Below are 16,226 nucleotides of genomic sequence, written 5' to 3' on the forward strand. Positions count from 1 at the left end.
ATGATCTCATTTTAGAGATAATATAGTTGAGGCATGGAGAAGTAACTTGCCCAAAATCAAGTAGTAAGTAATCAGTTAAAAAGTAAATTGATAGAATTAAGATGTACATCTGATAATTTGATACCAAACCACTATATTATACTACCTCTAATAACACACACACACACACACACACACAGACACACACACACTCAGTTGTAGGTTGCTCACTAGAATTAGATGATTAGATCAGGGCTGGGCATGAGATGCCTGGCCCCACAGTAAAGCTCTGTGTTGAGGAACACTCATAGAAGACTGTCTCCAGGAGAACAAGAGACACTGCTTGTGGCAGTGGACTCTGGGCCCTAGCATCTAGTGAACAAAGACAGCAAGTAAAATCATGCTTAGAGGAACTGTGTTAGAAAGATGCTTAAGATAGAATGGAGAAGAATGGAGGAAATGATTTCTTCTATGGAGGGTGGGAGCAGAGGAGGGGATGGGCAGCAGGCAAGAAACTGGTGGGCAACAGGAAACGAACTGAGTCTGGCTGGATAAGTAGGTTCTAACTGCTCTACATGAAGAGAAAGGCCAGGGAATTGTGTGAGCCAGTGGCAGAGATATAAAGCAGCAAAATGGATTCAAGGAACTTCTGAACATGTAAGGGAGCAATAGGTAACAGTTATAAACACCTCACTAAGATTTGTTCTGTGCTTGCCCTTTCCCATCCTTTATGCAGCCACTTTATCAATCCCAAAGTCTGTTTCCTTTTGTCTGAGAGCTATCTTTTATAAGAGGAGAAAAGAAGAAAAATAATTTCTTTTTACAAAGTAAATAATTGATGTGAATTAAGCTATATTCAGAGTGGAATATAGCTCAGGATGAAAAGGAATGAATTCAAAATTCACAGATGAAAATACCATGTTCAGGTATATAAATTCACCATTATTATTTTTTAGTATTTTCCCAACCATAACAAGAAGAATGATCTACCCTTTCTCATAAGCATACAGTGAAGAGAACAATGAAATTGCAAGGGGCAATAAGAATAGGGGAGGAAAAGCACTAAAATTCTAAAAATATATATTATCACATTGAAGTCTCACAAGAGCTGTGTGAAGTATTATTTTTTTTTTTTTTTTGTAGTAGAGGAGAAAACTGAAGCTCAGCGAAGCTAGTAATTTGCCTATAGCCATCCAGTTGGTAAGTGGTGAAGCTGGGATTAGAACTCAGGTATGGTGACCCCTAGCACTATGCTGTTATCAGCTGTATTGTACAACATCCCTGCTTAATGACCGAACTTATTTTAATACTTAAATTGAAAACAGTGTTCTTATCCCAAGACACAGACTTCAAGATGGATAACAACAATTACATTTTATAACTTAACACAGTTGTAGTTTTGTTAAATTAAAGCATTTGATACACACACACAAAGGCAGCAATATGTATCCTAAGGAAAAAAATTAGGTACCTAAAACAAGGCAGATATACTTTTCTGTGCATATGTGAATTATGCTATTGTAGTAAAACATAAAATATGAAAAGCAGAAAGGCTATATGTACCTATAGATTCTGCTATTGGTTCATCATTAAAATTTTATTCAAAACGAAGAACAAAGTTTTCTTGGAGCTAGCCCTTGGTACCAATGTATTGTATTGTCATCTATTCTGGCACTGCAAAGGTCAGATTCATCCAAGATGTCAGTAATAGATTTATTTACAAACCTCTGACTCTCCTGCTTTAGCTCTCTGTTTATCCCAAGACACTAATCAGGCTGCACTTATATTATCCATCATCCTGAGCAGCACACAGATGTGACAGCCCTCTGTTATGGCTTAGACTATCTACTTTGAGCATTCAAATACATTTTCTGCAATGGTTGGCCATTCTTTTAGATTTCCTTGAATGAGGCCACTTTGGAACAACTTGTTCACACAATAGCCTGGGACACTAAGTATATCCTGGGATTGTAACTGTGGGTTGATTAGATCATTTAATCTTGCTCTCATTTCTCTACATTATTTTCTCACATAATTACAAGATGATTTAAAAGGACATCTCCCAAATATAGGCCTTAATGTCTCCCTCACTGACTCTTCATTCTTTTTTTTTTTGCATATATATATATCTTTATTATGCCTTAAGTTCTAGGGTACATGTGCACAACGTGCAGGTTTGTTACATATGTATACATGTGCCATGTTGGTGTGCTGCACCCATTAACTCGTCATTTACATTAGGTATATCTCCAATGCTATCCCTCCCTGCTCCCCCTGCCCCACAACAGGCCCCGGTGTTGACTTTTCATTCTTTAAAACTAAAAGTTTAAGGCCGGGCACGGTAGCTCACACCTGTAATCCCAGCACTTTGGGAGGCCAAGGCAGGCAGATCACCTGAGGTCAGGAGTCCAAAACCTGCCCTGGCCTGGCCAACATGGTGAAACCTCGTTTCTATGAAAATTCAAAAATTAGCCAGGCATGATGGTGGATGCCTGTAATCCCAGCTACTCGGGAGGCTGAGGTGGCAGAATCCCTTGAACCTATGAGGTGGAGGTTGCAGTGAGTTGAGATAGCATCATTGAATTCCAGCCTGAGCAACAGAGCAAGACTCCATCTCAAAATAATAATAATAATAATAATAATAATAATAATAATAATATTGAATAAAAGTTTAAACTTTTTAAAAATACTTATTTCTTTCACTCATTCTTGCTGCTGGATGCCTATAATAGAGAATGGGGTGGTTTATTAGTCTATAGTTCGTGGTTGCAAAGCATTTCAGAAGAAATTTTTTTTTCTTGTTAGACACCTGCACCTCTATAACATGAAGAGTTAATCTTACTAAAAATGTCCATTGACTATAACACAACCACTAATACACCCAGACAATGAAGCAGTTGTTTACGGTTTTAAGTTCGACTCATTCATCAGAAACCATATGTGATAGGGCAACACGGGTGCCTATGTTCAGTGAAGTCAAGTCATTTGAAGTCACATTACGGTAGGATATACTATATCGCATACATTCCAAAAACAGTGGAATCATCTGCCGACATTTCGTTGGTATGTTGCTTGATTTCAAATAATTAAACTATATATTGAGTACCTATGATGCATCAGGAAGTATATTAAGTACTTGGGATATATTGTTGAACAAAATAGACTAACATTTTTGCTTTAGCTTAAATTGTAAGTGAAATGTACCTTTAATAGTAAATATAAGAAATAAGTAAATTATATAGTATGATGGAAATTGATGACTGCTATGAGAAACAGAAAAAGTAGATCTAAGTAAGGGGAATTAGGCAGGTGGGGGTGGGGTGGGAGAAGAATATGAGTGCAAGGATTTTGCAGAATTAAGTAGGGTCTTTAAGTGGAGAAAGCGAGCATTGAGAAAGACTTGGAAGTTGAAATTAGCTGAGCAGAAACCTGGTTAAAGAACTTCCTAGGCCGAGGGAATAGCTACAGCAAAGACTCTCATGATTCCATAGATATCTTAACCAATCTGAAAAAAAAACCCCACAGTATCAGAAATAATTTTCAGCATATCTGTAAATATATAAAATATATAAAGAGAAATCCAGTTGGCAAATTGCCAAATTAGTTTAAATGAATATTTTTACACCAGAGATTTTCATTGATTCATGTTTCACTGATTTCAAATACAACTGTGAGATAGCAAAGCCGTTAACAAGATTCAGAAATTGGGACTACCCAAAGCCAACTGATGTACCAACTAAGAATTCTGCTCTTTATTCCATGTTTTTGGTGTAAAATAAACACCTTATTGATTTAGAAATGTGGGTGCCTATTTTGATATTTTATTCATTTTGAGAAACAAAGAAAAACTTTGTGAGCTGCCCTTATACTAAAACCACTAGCAAAAAGTCAAGCTAACATAATATGAATGAGAAATATAAGCAGGAAATGAGACCGGGCGCGGTGGCTCACACCTGTAATCCCAGCGCTTTGGGAGGCAGAGGCGGATGGATCACCTGAGGTCAGGAGTTTGAGACCAGGCTAGCTAACAGGGTGAAACCGTCTCTACTAAAAATACAAAAATTAGCCGGGTGTGGTGGCACATGCCTATAATCCCAGCTACCTGGGAGGCTGAGGCAGGAGAATCGCTTGAATCCAGGAGGCAGAGGTTGCAGTGAGCTGAGATCATACCACTGCACTCCAGCCTTGGTGACAGAGTGAGATTCTGTCTTAAAAAAAAAAAAAAAAAAGAAAAGAAAAAAAATATAAGCAGGAAAAGAATGAGAAAAATGCCCTAGCAAGCATTTTTGTTTTCTCAGCCTCCTGTGTGGCAAATGACATCAGAATATTTGGGTTAGTTATTGTCCAAATGCTGGAGGAAAACAGTTTGACAAATTCCTTGTTTCTTAGGATGGCTTAAGCAAATCATTTTGATACTTTATTATTTTTGGATGAAATAGAAGGTAGCTTCATTTTATTTTTAAGTAAAATTCCTTTTTTATTCAATTTAATGTGATAGGTGCCCATCAAAATACTACCTTACTGTGGCCGGGCGCGGTGGCTCACGCGTGTAATCCCAGCACTTTGGGAGGCCGAGGTGGGAGGATCACGAGGTCAGGAGATCAAGACCATCCTAGCTAACATGGTGAAACCCCATCTGTACTAAAAAAAAATACAAAAAAAAATTAGCCGGGCATGGTGGTGGGCGCCTGTAGTCCTAGCTACTTCGGAGGCTGAGGCAGGAGAATGGGGTGAACCCGGGAGGCGGAGGTTGCAGTGAGCCAAGATCGCGCCACTGCACTCCAGCCCGGGTGACAGAGCGAGACTCCATCTTAAAAACAAAACAAAAACAAACAAACAAAAAAACAAAAAAAACTACCTTACTGTTAATAGAAATAGAAAATATAAACCATTTCTCTTACAAAGGTGTCATTTGGAACCTCTAATCTTGGAAGTACTTTACTTTAGGAAAGATATCTACCCTCAAATTTGTCTTCCAAACTTAAACTAAAATCATATTTTATATTAGGTTTGTATCATAGAGATTAGAAAATGAATTCCTTTCAAAACCAAATTCAGCTCCAAAACTGGAAATAAAATGAAATTTTATTTGAATCAGTCATAAACATAATATATAGAAGCCCAATTTTACCTCACTATTTCTAGAAAGTAGGCAAAAACCAGGATGGTATTTCTGCAGTTTTCCTTCATCTAAATTAATTCTCTTCAGACTGAAATTGAACATTCTAAAGTACAAAATTTTGTAATATTGTGTCTATTGCACAATAGACAATAGAGAAAAAACAAAATAGAATGTGATCTATGGATTCTACCAACTGGTGACAAATACAGCTAATGCTTTGGCATAGCTGGTTTTCCTCTACCCTCATCTTGGGGATATGTGTGTCTTTGCATGCATGTACCTATAATTATTGTTAGTTTTAACATTATTTTTACATCATTGGGATCATGCTATGAATTTGGAAACTATTTCTTTACCTAATAATACTGTGAGACATAATTCCATGTCATTTAAGTTTGTTCACAATCATATTTTTAATTGTTGCAGAGCATCGTGCCATAGCATTCTATCATTGGCTTATTTTTTCAAGCCCTTCCTCAATTAAGGTGAATTGCTTCAGGAGAGCAAGGAAAGACATTCAGATAATGCTCACTTACTGTACAAAATAATGAAAATTATTATATATTTATAATATATTTCCAACATGGCAGTTCTAATCTGGCTCTGGTGAAACTATCACCCCATTAAAAGAAATTATCTAAAGTGTCAAAGCCAGGCATCAAGAAGGGGACATCAGGGATTCTGAGTCATACCTCAATCCCCGGCAAATTAAGGATAATCTAAATGTGTGCCTTCCAATCAGGAACCTGCCTATTTTAAGAATGATGGCTAAAAGCAGAGTTTGAATAAGGAGTCTTCATTTATCTTTTTCATGATCCCTGGATAACTCAATTGACTAACACTGATATAATTACAAAAATACCATTGTGTAAAAAGTACTATAACATGAATTGTATAAAAAAGAGTTATAAGTAATTGTGCTATTTCTTTTATTTTTAAAATTTGTTTATCTTTGCTTCTCATCTTTTTAACTTATTTTTTATTTCTATAGGTTTTTTGGGAACAAGTGGTATTTGGTACATAAGTAATTTCTTTAGTGGTGATTTTTGAGATTTTGGTGCATCCATCACCCAAGCAGTATACACTGAACCCTATTTGCAGTCTTTTATCCTTCACCTCCTTCCTACCGTTTCCCCATGAGTCCCCAAAGTCCACTGTGTCATTCTGATGTCTTTGCATCCCCATACTTTAGCTTCTACATATGAATGAGAAATACTATGTTTGGTTTTCCATTCCTGAATTACTTCACTTAGAATAGTAGGCTCCAATACCATTCAGGTTGCTGCAAATGCAATTAATTCATTTCTTTTTATGGCTGAGTAGTATTCCATCATATATATATATATATATATATATATATATATATATATATATATATACACACACATATATATATATATTTTTCCCCTTTTTTAGGTTTTCTTTTTTGTTTTTAAATTAAAATCTCACTACTGGGTATCTACCAGTAGTGGGAAATATATATATATTATCATATATATGACACATATATAAATATATGATATATATATATGATGGAATTTCCTTTTTATATCTTTTGCCTATTTTCACTGTTTTCGCTTTTCTAGTTAGTTTTTGGAAGTTATATATTCTAGAATTTAGATACTAAACTTTTAATTTCCATTTATGTTGCTAAAATATTCTGTCATTGTATTTTTTGTTTTATTATGTGTTTTGATTAATAGTTCTTAATTTTTTAAATTTATCTATTGACCTTTTGGCTATATATGATCTCTTTGTATCATTTCTTTAGTGGTTGTCCTAGGGAGTGAAATATGCATACCTCTTTCACAGTCTACTTAGAAATATTATTTTTTTACTTTAAGTAAAATGTAGATGACTTACAATTACATCTATATATACATAATTGATTTATACATATAATTGATTGAGATATATATATATCACAGTTTCTTTATTCACTTGTTGATTGATGGCCATTTCAGTTGATTCCACATTTTTGCAATGGTGAATTGTGCTGCTATAAACATGCATATGCAAATACCTTTTTTATATAATGACTTTTCCTCTGGGTAGATACCCAGCAGTGGGATTACTGGATCTTTTTTTTTTTAATTTAAAAACAAACAAGAAAACCTAATGATACAGCTACTCTCTCACCCCTATTCTCTTAGCCTCTGAATGTAACAACTATTATGATTTTGTAGTTCATCATTCCTAATCATATCTTTAAACTTTATTTGGGTATCCATAAACAATATGCAGTACTTTTTTAATTTTAAAATTTACTAATTAGAATTATGTTCCATAAAGCTTAATTGTTTCTACTTTTGTCCCTATTACAAACAGTATTTTTTATTTTAATACATTTTTGCATGCTTTCCAAGCATATTTAACATAGTTTCTCTAAGGTACACACATAAAAGTTAAATTGTTTCCTCATAGGCTATAACCATCTTTATCTTAAACATAAACCTTGACATTGCTCTATATAGTCTCAGTACCAGTTTGTATTCCAAACAATGTAAAAGAGTATCATATAGCTGTACCCGCTTATACATATTAGACTTTATAATTACTTTTCAAAGTCAATGCATATAAAATGGTATCTTATTTTTAAAATGTCTTTTTTTGGGCTAGTAACGAGAGCATGCTTATAAATCTTGAATAGCTATTAACGTTTCCTATTCTGTGAATTTCCTTTTTATATCTTTTGCCTATTTTCACTGTTTTCACTTTTCTAGTTAGTTTTGGGAAGTTATATATTCTAGAATTTAGATACTAAACTTTTAATTTCCATTTATGTTGCTAAAATATTCTGTCATTGTATTTTTTGTTTTATTATGTGATTGGATTAATGGTTCTTAATTTTTTTTTTTTTTTTTTGAGATGGAGTCTCGCTCTGTCACCCAGGCTGGAGTGCAATGGCGTGATCTCAGCTCATTGCAGCCTCTGCCTCCTGGGTTCAAGCAATTCTCTTGCCTCAGCATCATGAGTAGCTGGGATTACAGGCACACGCCACCACGCCTGGCTAATTTTTGTATTTTTAGTAGAGAAGGGATTTCACCATGTTGGTCAGACTGGTCTCGAACTCCTGACCTCATGATCTGCCCACCTTGGCCTCCCAAAGTGCTGGGATTACAGGTGTGAGCCACCATGCCCGGCCAATAGTTGTTAATTTTAATATAGTAATATTTATTAATCATTCATCTCTACAGAGTTTTTTTTCAGGTTTGTGTATCTTTTTTAAAAACAGGATTTTGGTTTTATTGATTTTTCTCTATTCTTTTTTATTTCAAACATTCCTGCTTTTGTTTTTATTAGAACCCTTTTTCTGTTTGTTTTTTATTTAACTTATTCCTTTTTTCTAGTTTCTTAAGGTAGAAGCCTAGATTCTTGATTCATGATTCTTGATACATGATTATTTTTTAAAAAAATAAGCATGTAGTGCTATAAGTTTCTATACAATCATTGCTTCAGTTGTTTTCCAACAATTTGTAATTTGTGTTTTCACTCAATTCAAATTAATTTCAAACTTTTTACATAATATTCTCTTCAACTTATAGGTTGTTTAGGATATGTTGTTTAATTTTCAAATATTTGAGAATTTTCCACATATCTTTCTGTTATTTGTTTCTTTTTTCTTTCTTTGAACCTATCGATGTCTTTATTTTTATTGTGGGTTTCTTGTGGGCAACATATAGTCTGGTCTTTAAAAAGAATTTTAAGATACAATCTGATAATTTCTATGTTTTGACTGCTTTGTTCACACTATTTACATTTAATATAAATATTGATATGATTGCACATAACACTATCATTTTATTATTTTATTTCTGTTCATCCTCTCTTTTTGTGTTTCCTCTGTGCCTCATTCCCTTCCTTCTTTTGTATTATTAAGTTTATTTTTAATATTTCATTTAAATTTATCTCGACTTTTCGGCTATATATGATCTCTTTGTATCATTTCTTTAGTGGTTGTCCTAGGGAGTGAAATATGCATACCTCTTTCACAGTCTACTTAGAATTATTATTTTGTTACTTTAAGTAAAATGTAGATGACTTACAATTACATCCATATAGATTCCTTAATCCTGTCCTAATTCTCAAATATATTATATCTACATACATTGAAAACCCATCAGACAATGTGATAAATTTGCTTTCAACATTCATACATATTTTGGATAACTTAAGAGAATATGGTCCTTTATATTTACCCAGATATAAACTATTTGTCTTTGTCCCTCATTCTTAATGTCTCACATTAACTTCTGACGTCATTTTCCTTTACCCCAATAAATGTCCTTTCGCATTTCTTTTAGAGCAAGTGTGTTGATAATTAATTCTCACAGTTTCCTTTTATCCAAGAATGTTCTTACTTCCTTTTCATTTATAAAGGAAATTTTTGCTGTATGTAAAATGAACGTATAGCTATACGATCAGCATGGGCCTTTTACAGGTTCTTACATAGAATTAGAGAGGTCCATTATACTTAGCTGGAATCTGTTTCCACCCATTGTGGTTTGTTTTTTAGACAGATTTTTGGGCAGAATTTATATATATTGTTTGGGCCCCCTGTTTTTCTTCCTTTCGCTTTTATGGGGTCCTTTCTTGATTTTCAGTAAAAGTTTCCCCAAATGACATTCCCTAGTTCTTTGTTTCAGAAGAGCTGCAGGTTTCTTTCTTTCTTTCTTTCTTTTTTTTTTTTTTTTTGAGACGAAGTCTCGCTCTGTGCCCAGGCTAGAGTGCAGTGGCGCGATCTCGGCTCACTGCAACCTCCGACTTCCGGGTTCACGACATTCTCCTGCCTCAGCCTCCCGAGTAGCTGCCCACCACCATGCCCGGCTAATTTTTTATATTTTTAGTAGAGACGGGGTTTCACCATGTTAGCCAGGATGGTCTCAATCTCCTGACCTCGTGATCCGCCCACCTCGGCTTCCCAAAGTGCTGGGATTACAGGCGTGAGCCACCGTGCCCGGCCTTTTTCTTAATGCAGTTGAGCTATACTACCATGTGCTAACTCTGGCATGCCCTCTAGCTAAATGCCACAAAAATGAGTAACTCATTCTATGCCATTCCATTCAAAATGCCACCTCTCCTCTATAATACAGTCTACCTACTTTTCTTTCCAGTACCAAGTTCATTTTTTGGTATCTTTTGTTTAGTGTTTTTGGTTTGTATCTGTGAAAGCATTGGCTTCTATTGTGCAAACCTGAATCTTAACTCAGAATTTTTTGTTTCTATTTATGTCAATCCTTTGATGCTTCCGAATATATGTAGAGGTCTTTCATTTTCCCCCATTTTACTTAAGGTTTATGATCTGTGTCTGTTGAAAATTAAAACCCAGGACCCTAGCTATTACACAATATGGTAACCTCCCTAATTTTCCCCTACTCTGTACCACCACTACCATCTATTCCACTATTCTACACCTCTTCTCCCTGCCTCTGTGCCAATTTGTGTTTATTTTCCTGACTTTCATTTCTCTGATGACTTTTTGTCACGTAGGGATATTGCATTATTTATTTTGAATTTGACTATACTTTAAACGTAACTGTCATAATTTATGTATCACTTCTAGGTATTTTTGTCTGGAAAACTTAAGGAGAAGTTTGTTTAGCCCACCATTTCATCAGAATAAGAGTACTATCCTTGCCTTCTTTATTATGTGGTTCTTCATTCTGGAACACTCTGAAGCAGTAGCATTGTATGTACTTGGCGTAACAGCCATTGACACTTGGTAGAAAAGATACAAATGAAACAGCATTCCAAAGAGTTAAAGAAGCCAGTAACTATCAACAGTTCTTGAGCCTGCAGCATAGCAGATTATAAAAACCCAACTTGCTAAAATGCTAAAACTCTCTGCCTGTAAGATAACTAAACTAGCTGAAATTGGTTGGAACCGATATGACCGATTGGAGTTTACACAGAATGAGCTTGCTGATGTTACAGCCTAAACTTCCAGTTTGTTTTATACCAACTTCCTCCAAATTTCCACAAAGGTCCTATGAAGAAGGATGAAGAGGTAACTGCACATTTCTTATGACTTTCCAGACCTCACCTTTCCTTCTGCCAAATCACCTACTAATCCCAGAATTCACCCTGTAAACCTTTTCTAATAAAATTACAGCCATAAAGCCAACACAAAGAGACAGGTTTGAGCTGGACTCTTGTCTCTTTGTCAGTCAACTAGCAATACAAAGCTTTTCTTTTCTTAAAATCCTGGTGACATATTGGCTTCTAATACATCAGGCAGTGAGCAATAACAATAACAATGATAATGCTGTTGGTGATTATAACTTTTGCTTAAAAAACCCTCTATAATCTAAAAATGAGGTATTTTTCTTGTATCCACATGTTGTTCTACAAAAATGTAATATATAAAATGCAACTTAGTGAGATCACCCTGGTAATCTCATATTGTCAACAGGGCATTGTTACATAACCACTAGCAAGAAGTTAGGTACAGTTTTCTCAGTATCAGGAAGCTGAATCAGGACCATGATTTTTTTCGTGAATTGTCCTCAAGAGCTCTGTAAATACATCAAACAGATCTGTGAAAGCGAATCTAGTTATTTAATAGGTTCTACTTCTAGTTCTACTTATTTAATAGGCCAAAAATGGCTTCTCAAAATTAGTTGCAACTGCAATCATAGTTACGTTTGCTTGGCTGGAAGAAGTCAAAGTCCTTTTCAAACTCTAGACTGGATAACTGTGAAGGTTAATTTGGGGGATAGAGAAGGTCAACAATAAATTGTATTTCCTCAATAATTTTGCTTGCTGATGTCACAGCCAAATAAAGCACATCTCTGCTTTATTTTTTTTTTTTAGTATAGATTGAATTTCATGCTTAGAAAACGTACCAGAAGCGTTGTTTTCTTTTGGTCGATAAAGAACATGATTAATTGATACCCTTCACTCAATGTGTATCCTGGCCAGTTTATTTTTCTCTGTTCTACCACCAGAAGCACACCATTTTTTTTTTGATCAGCTATTTCATAAATATGTGTGCTACTTATCACTAAGACTTGCCCCAATAAGCAAGAAGACATGGATTAACAACAATGTCACCCTACTCTCATAAGGATTTTTCAAAGCAGTGTAATCCTCTTACATCAAAAGTATTATCAGCTCTGCCTTCAAGCTTATTATACATGGTCATGAAACCGTGCTCCAAAGAGTTAAAGACACTGATGACTAACCAATCCTCGAGTTTGCAGGATGGCAGATAAAAAAAGAAACAACTTGCTGACACACAGACACTCCCTCCACTTGTAAGAGAATAAAACTGGCTGAAATCATTTGGAACCAATATGGCCAACTGGAGTTTATGCAGAATGAGCTTGCTGACATCACAGCCTGAATTCACACCGCATATTTTATACTAACTCCACTTGAATTTACACATACAATCCATGAGGTAGCAAAAAGAGATGACTGTGCATTCCCAGAGATGTTCCAGACCTCTCCTTTCCTTCCACCAGTCACCTACTAATCTCAGAATCCACCCACTAAATGTTTTCTAATGAAATTACTCCCATCAAGCCAGCACAGGGAGACAGATCTGAGCTGTACTCCTGTCTCCTTGCTAGCTGACTTGCAATAAGAAGCTTTTCTTTTCTCTAAAACCTGGTTTCATAGTATGGCTTCCAGGATATTTGGCAGGGAATCCCTTTTGCTTGGTAACCATCATTGGGAGCCACTGGTAATTTGATGTATGCAAGAAAGGAATATGCAGGTCACTTAGGAGTGCTTCACAGGCAGACATTTGCTCCTCTTGTCAGACATTGCTTGAAGAAGATTTTTGCTGAAAGCTTTCTATTGAGTTTTGGTTAAATAACTTGGCAATGAGTAAACAAAAAATTTTCATTTTGATATTTGTATTAACGATTTTTGGCTCAACATTTGAAATCCTTGAAATTGGAGATCTTCGATGCTTTGTTGGTTTCATCCTATGATACTCTGGGATTTTTCTGGTATAAAGTTTTACCAAGTTTTAGAAAACCACAATCCAATAAAATTTAACTGGAAGTAGAAAACACAATGATACTGATAAGATACCAATGATGTGTGGATATTTCTCTTTTTTCTCTCATTCTACACCAGAATTATTGTCAAAAGAGGAGTATAAAGGTATTCTCTTCCTGAAACTCAGGTAAATAGGACAAAGTTCAGAAAATTCTCTAGAGACAGGTCGCAGTATTTCCTGATAACTGATTTTTTTATACCATTTCATTTCAACTACCTTAATATTATGCACAAAATTCATAGATACATTTCATTTATACAACTTGACTGTGAATGAAAGGAAAGAACTATTGTGATAGCTGGAGGATAACATAATTTGTTTTTTCTTCTGGAGAAAGGGGAGGAATAAAACACCAAAAGCAATGGCAACAAAAGCCAAAATTGTCAGTTGGGATCTAATTAAACTAAAGAGCTTCTGCACAGCAAAAGAAACTATCATCAGACTGAACAGGCAACCTGCAGGACGGGAGAAAATTTTTGCAATCTATCCATCTGACAAAGGGCTAATATCCAGAATCTACAAAGAACTTAAACACATTTATGAGAAAAAAACAAACAACCCCATCGAAAAGTGGGCAAAGGATATGAACAGACACTTCTCAAAAGAAGACATTCATGCAGCCAACAAACATATGAAGAAAAAAGCTCATTATCACTGGTCATTAGAGAAACGCAAATAAAAACCATAATGAGATACCATCTCACGCTAAATAGAATGGCGATCATTAAAAAGTCAGGAAACAACAGATGCTGGAGAGGATGTGGAGAAATAGTAGGGGAGAGGGTGACATTACTCCCAGTATCACAGGGGCTGCCCACCCTTCTGTAATATTTTTCATAATATTCAAAGGTGGAGAGGATGATATTACTTCTAATATCACAGGTGGTGTACACCCCCCTGTGATATTTTTCTAATATTCAGGGGTCGGAGGATGATATTACTCCCAAAATCGCAGGGGGTGTACAACCCCTGTGATATTGTTTCTAATATCCAGGTATGGAGAGAATGATATTTCTCAAAATATCACGGGGTTGTAGACCCCTCTTGTAATATTGTTCCCAATATCCAGGTTGAGAGGAGATGATACTACTCACAATATCGCACTGGGTAGAGGCCCCTTCTGTGATATTGTTCCTAATATCCAGGGGAGGAGAATAGGATATTATTCCCAATATATATGAGGGACTGTACACCCCCCCTTTGATATCACACTTCCTGCAAAATTGGGAATAATATCCTCTCCCTTCATTGATATTAGGAACAATACCACAGAGGAGGTGTTCACCACCTGTGATATGAGGTGTAGTATCATAATCTCTTTCATGGATATTAAAAACAATATCACAGAAGGGGTGTAGACCCCCTGTGATACTGGGAGTAATATCATCCTCCTCTTACCTGGATATTGGGAACAATAACACAGGGAAGGTATACACTCCCTGCAATATTGGGAGTAATATTCTTCCTGCCCCCTGGATATTAGGGACAATAAATATCACATGGGAGGTGAACACCCCTGCGATAATGGGAGTTATACTCTCCTCCCTTAAATATTAGGAACAATATCACATAGGGAGTATACATTTCCTGCGATATTGAGAGTAATATTATCCTTTTTCGCATGGATGTTAGGTACAATATCACATGGGTGGTGTACAGCACCTGCGATATTGGGAGTAATATCACCCTCTTTCCTCCTGGATATTAGAAAAAGTATCACATGGGAGGTGTACACCCACTGTGATATTGAAAGTAATATGATTCTCTCCCCATGTGGATATTAGAAATAATATATCAGGGCGTTGTACACTTCCTGTGATATTGGAAATAATATCATACTCCCCCCCACTTGATATTAGGAACAATATCCCAGAGGGGGTTACACTTCCTGCAATATTGGGAATAATAGCATCCTCTCCCTTCTTGGATATTACGAACGATATCATAAAAGGGGTGAGCACTCCGTGCAATATTGGGTATAATATCATCCTCTCCCCTCATGGATATTACTAACCAGATCACAGGGGGTTGTACACACACCCTGATATGGGGAGTAATGTCACCCCCACCCCTCCTGCATATTAAGAACTAGATAACAGGGGAGTGTTCACTTTTCACGATATGGGGAGTAATATCACCCTCTCCCCTCCTAGATATTAGTAACAATACCACAGCGGGGGTGTACATCTCCTGCAATATTGGGAGTAATATCGACCTCTTCCCCACTGAATAATAGAAGCAATATAACAAGGGGGATGAACACCCCCTGTGATATTGCAAGTAAGATCATCCTTTCCCTTCTTGAATGTTAGGAACAATATAACAGAGGGGTGTACACCCCCTGCGATATTGGAAATAAAACATCCTCTCCCCCCTGGATATTACGAACAATATACATGGGGTTGTACACCCCCTGAGATATTTGGAGTAATATCCACTCTTCACCTGGTTATTGAAAATAATATTACGGCGTGGGGCGGTGTACACCCCCTGGGATATTGGGAGTAATATAATTCTCTCTCCTTTTGGATATTAGAAACAATGTTACAGGGGAGGTCTACCCCTTCGGCGATATTTAGAGTAATATCAACCTCTACCCCCTGGATATTAGGAAAAATATCACAGAGGGTGTGTATATTCCCTGTGATTTTGGGAGTAATATCATCCTCTCCCGCCCTGGATATTAGGAACAATATCACAGGGGGGATTGTGTACACCATTTGTGACATTGGGAGTAATATTATCTTTCCCCCCACTGGATATTATGAGCAATGTCATAGAGGGGGTATACACCCCCTGCAATATTGAGAGTAATATCATCCTCTCCCTTATGGATATTAGAAACAATATCACAGGGGAGATGTACAGCCCCTGGAATATTGGGAGTAATGGCATTCTCTACCCCACTGGATATGAGAAACAATACCACAGGGTGGGTATACACTCCCTGTGATATTGGCAGTAATATCACCCTCTCCCTGCCTGGATATAAGAAACAATATCACAGGCAGGGTTTACATCACCTGCAATATTGAGAATAATATCATCCTCTTTCTCCCTGTATATTAGAAACCATATCACAGCGGGTGTGTACACCCCCTGAGACATTTGTAG

At 36.2% G+C, this 16,226-nt stretch overlaps 1 annotated feature.

The window, feature by feature from the left end:
• Positions 12,110–12,310: a silencer, noted in NCBI's record as "peak1810 fragment used in MPRA reporter construct". NCBI's record gives its function as "represses an SCP1 promoter by STARR-seq MPRAs in K562 erythroleukemia cells {active_cell/tissue: K562}" and the evidence as "EXISTENCE:reporter gene assay evidence [ECO:0000049][PMID:32103011]".

Source organism: Homo sapiens, chromosome 12, assembly GCF_000001405.40.
Source record: "Homo sapiens chromosome 12, GRCh38.p14 Primary Assembly".
Lineage (NCBI taxonomy): Eukaryota > Metazoa > Chordata > Mammalia > Primates > Hominidae > Homo > Homo sapiens.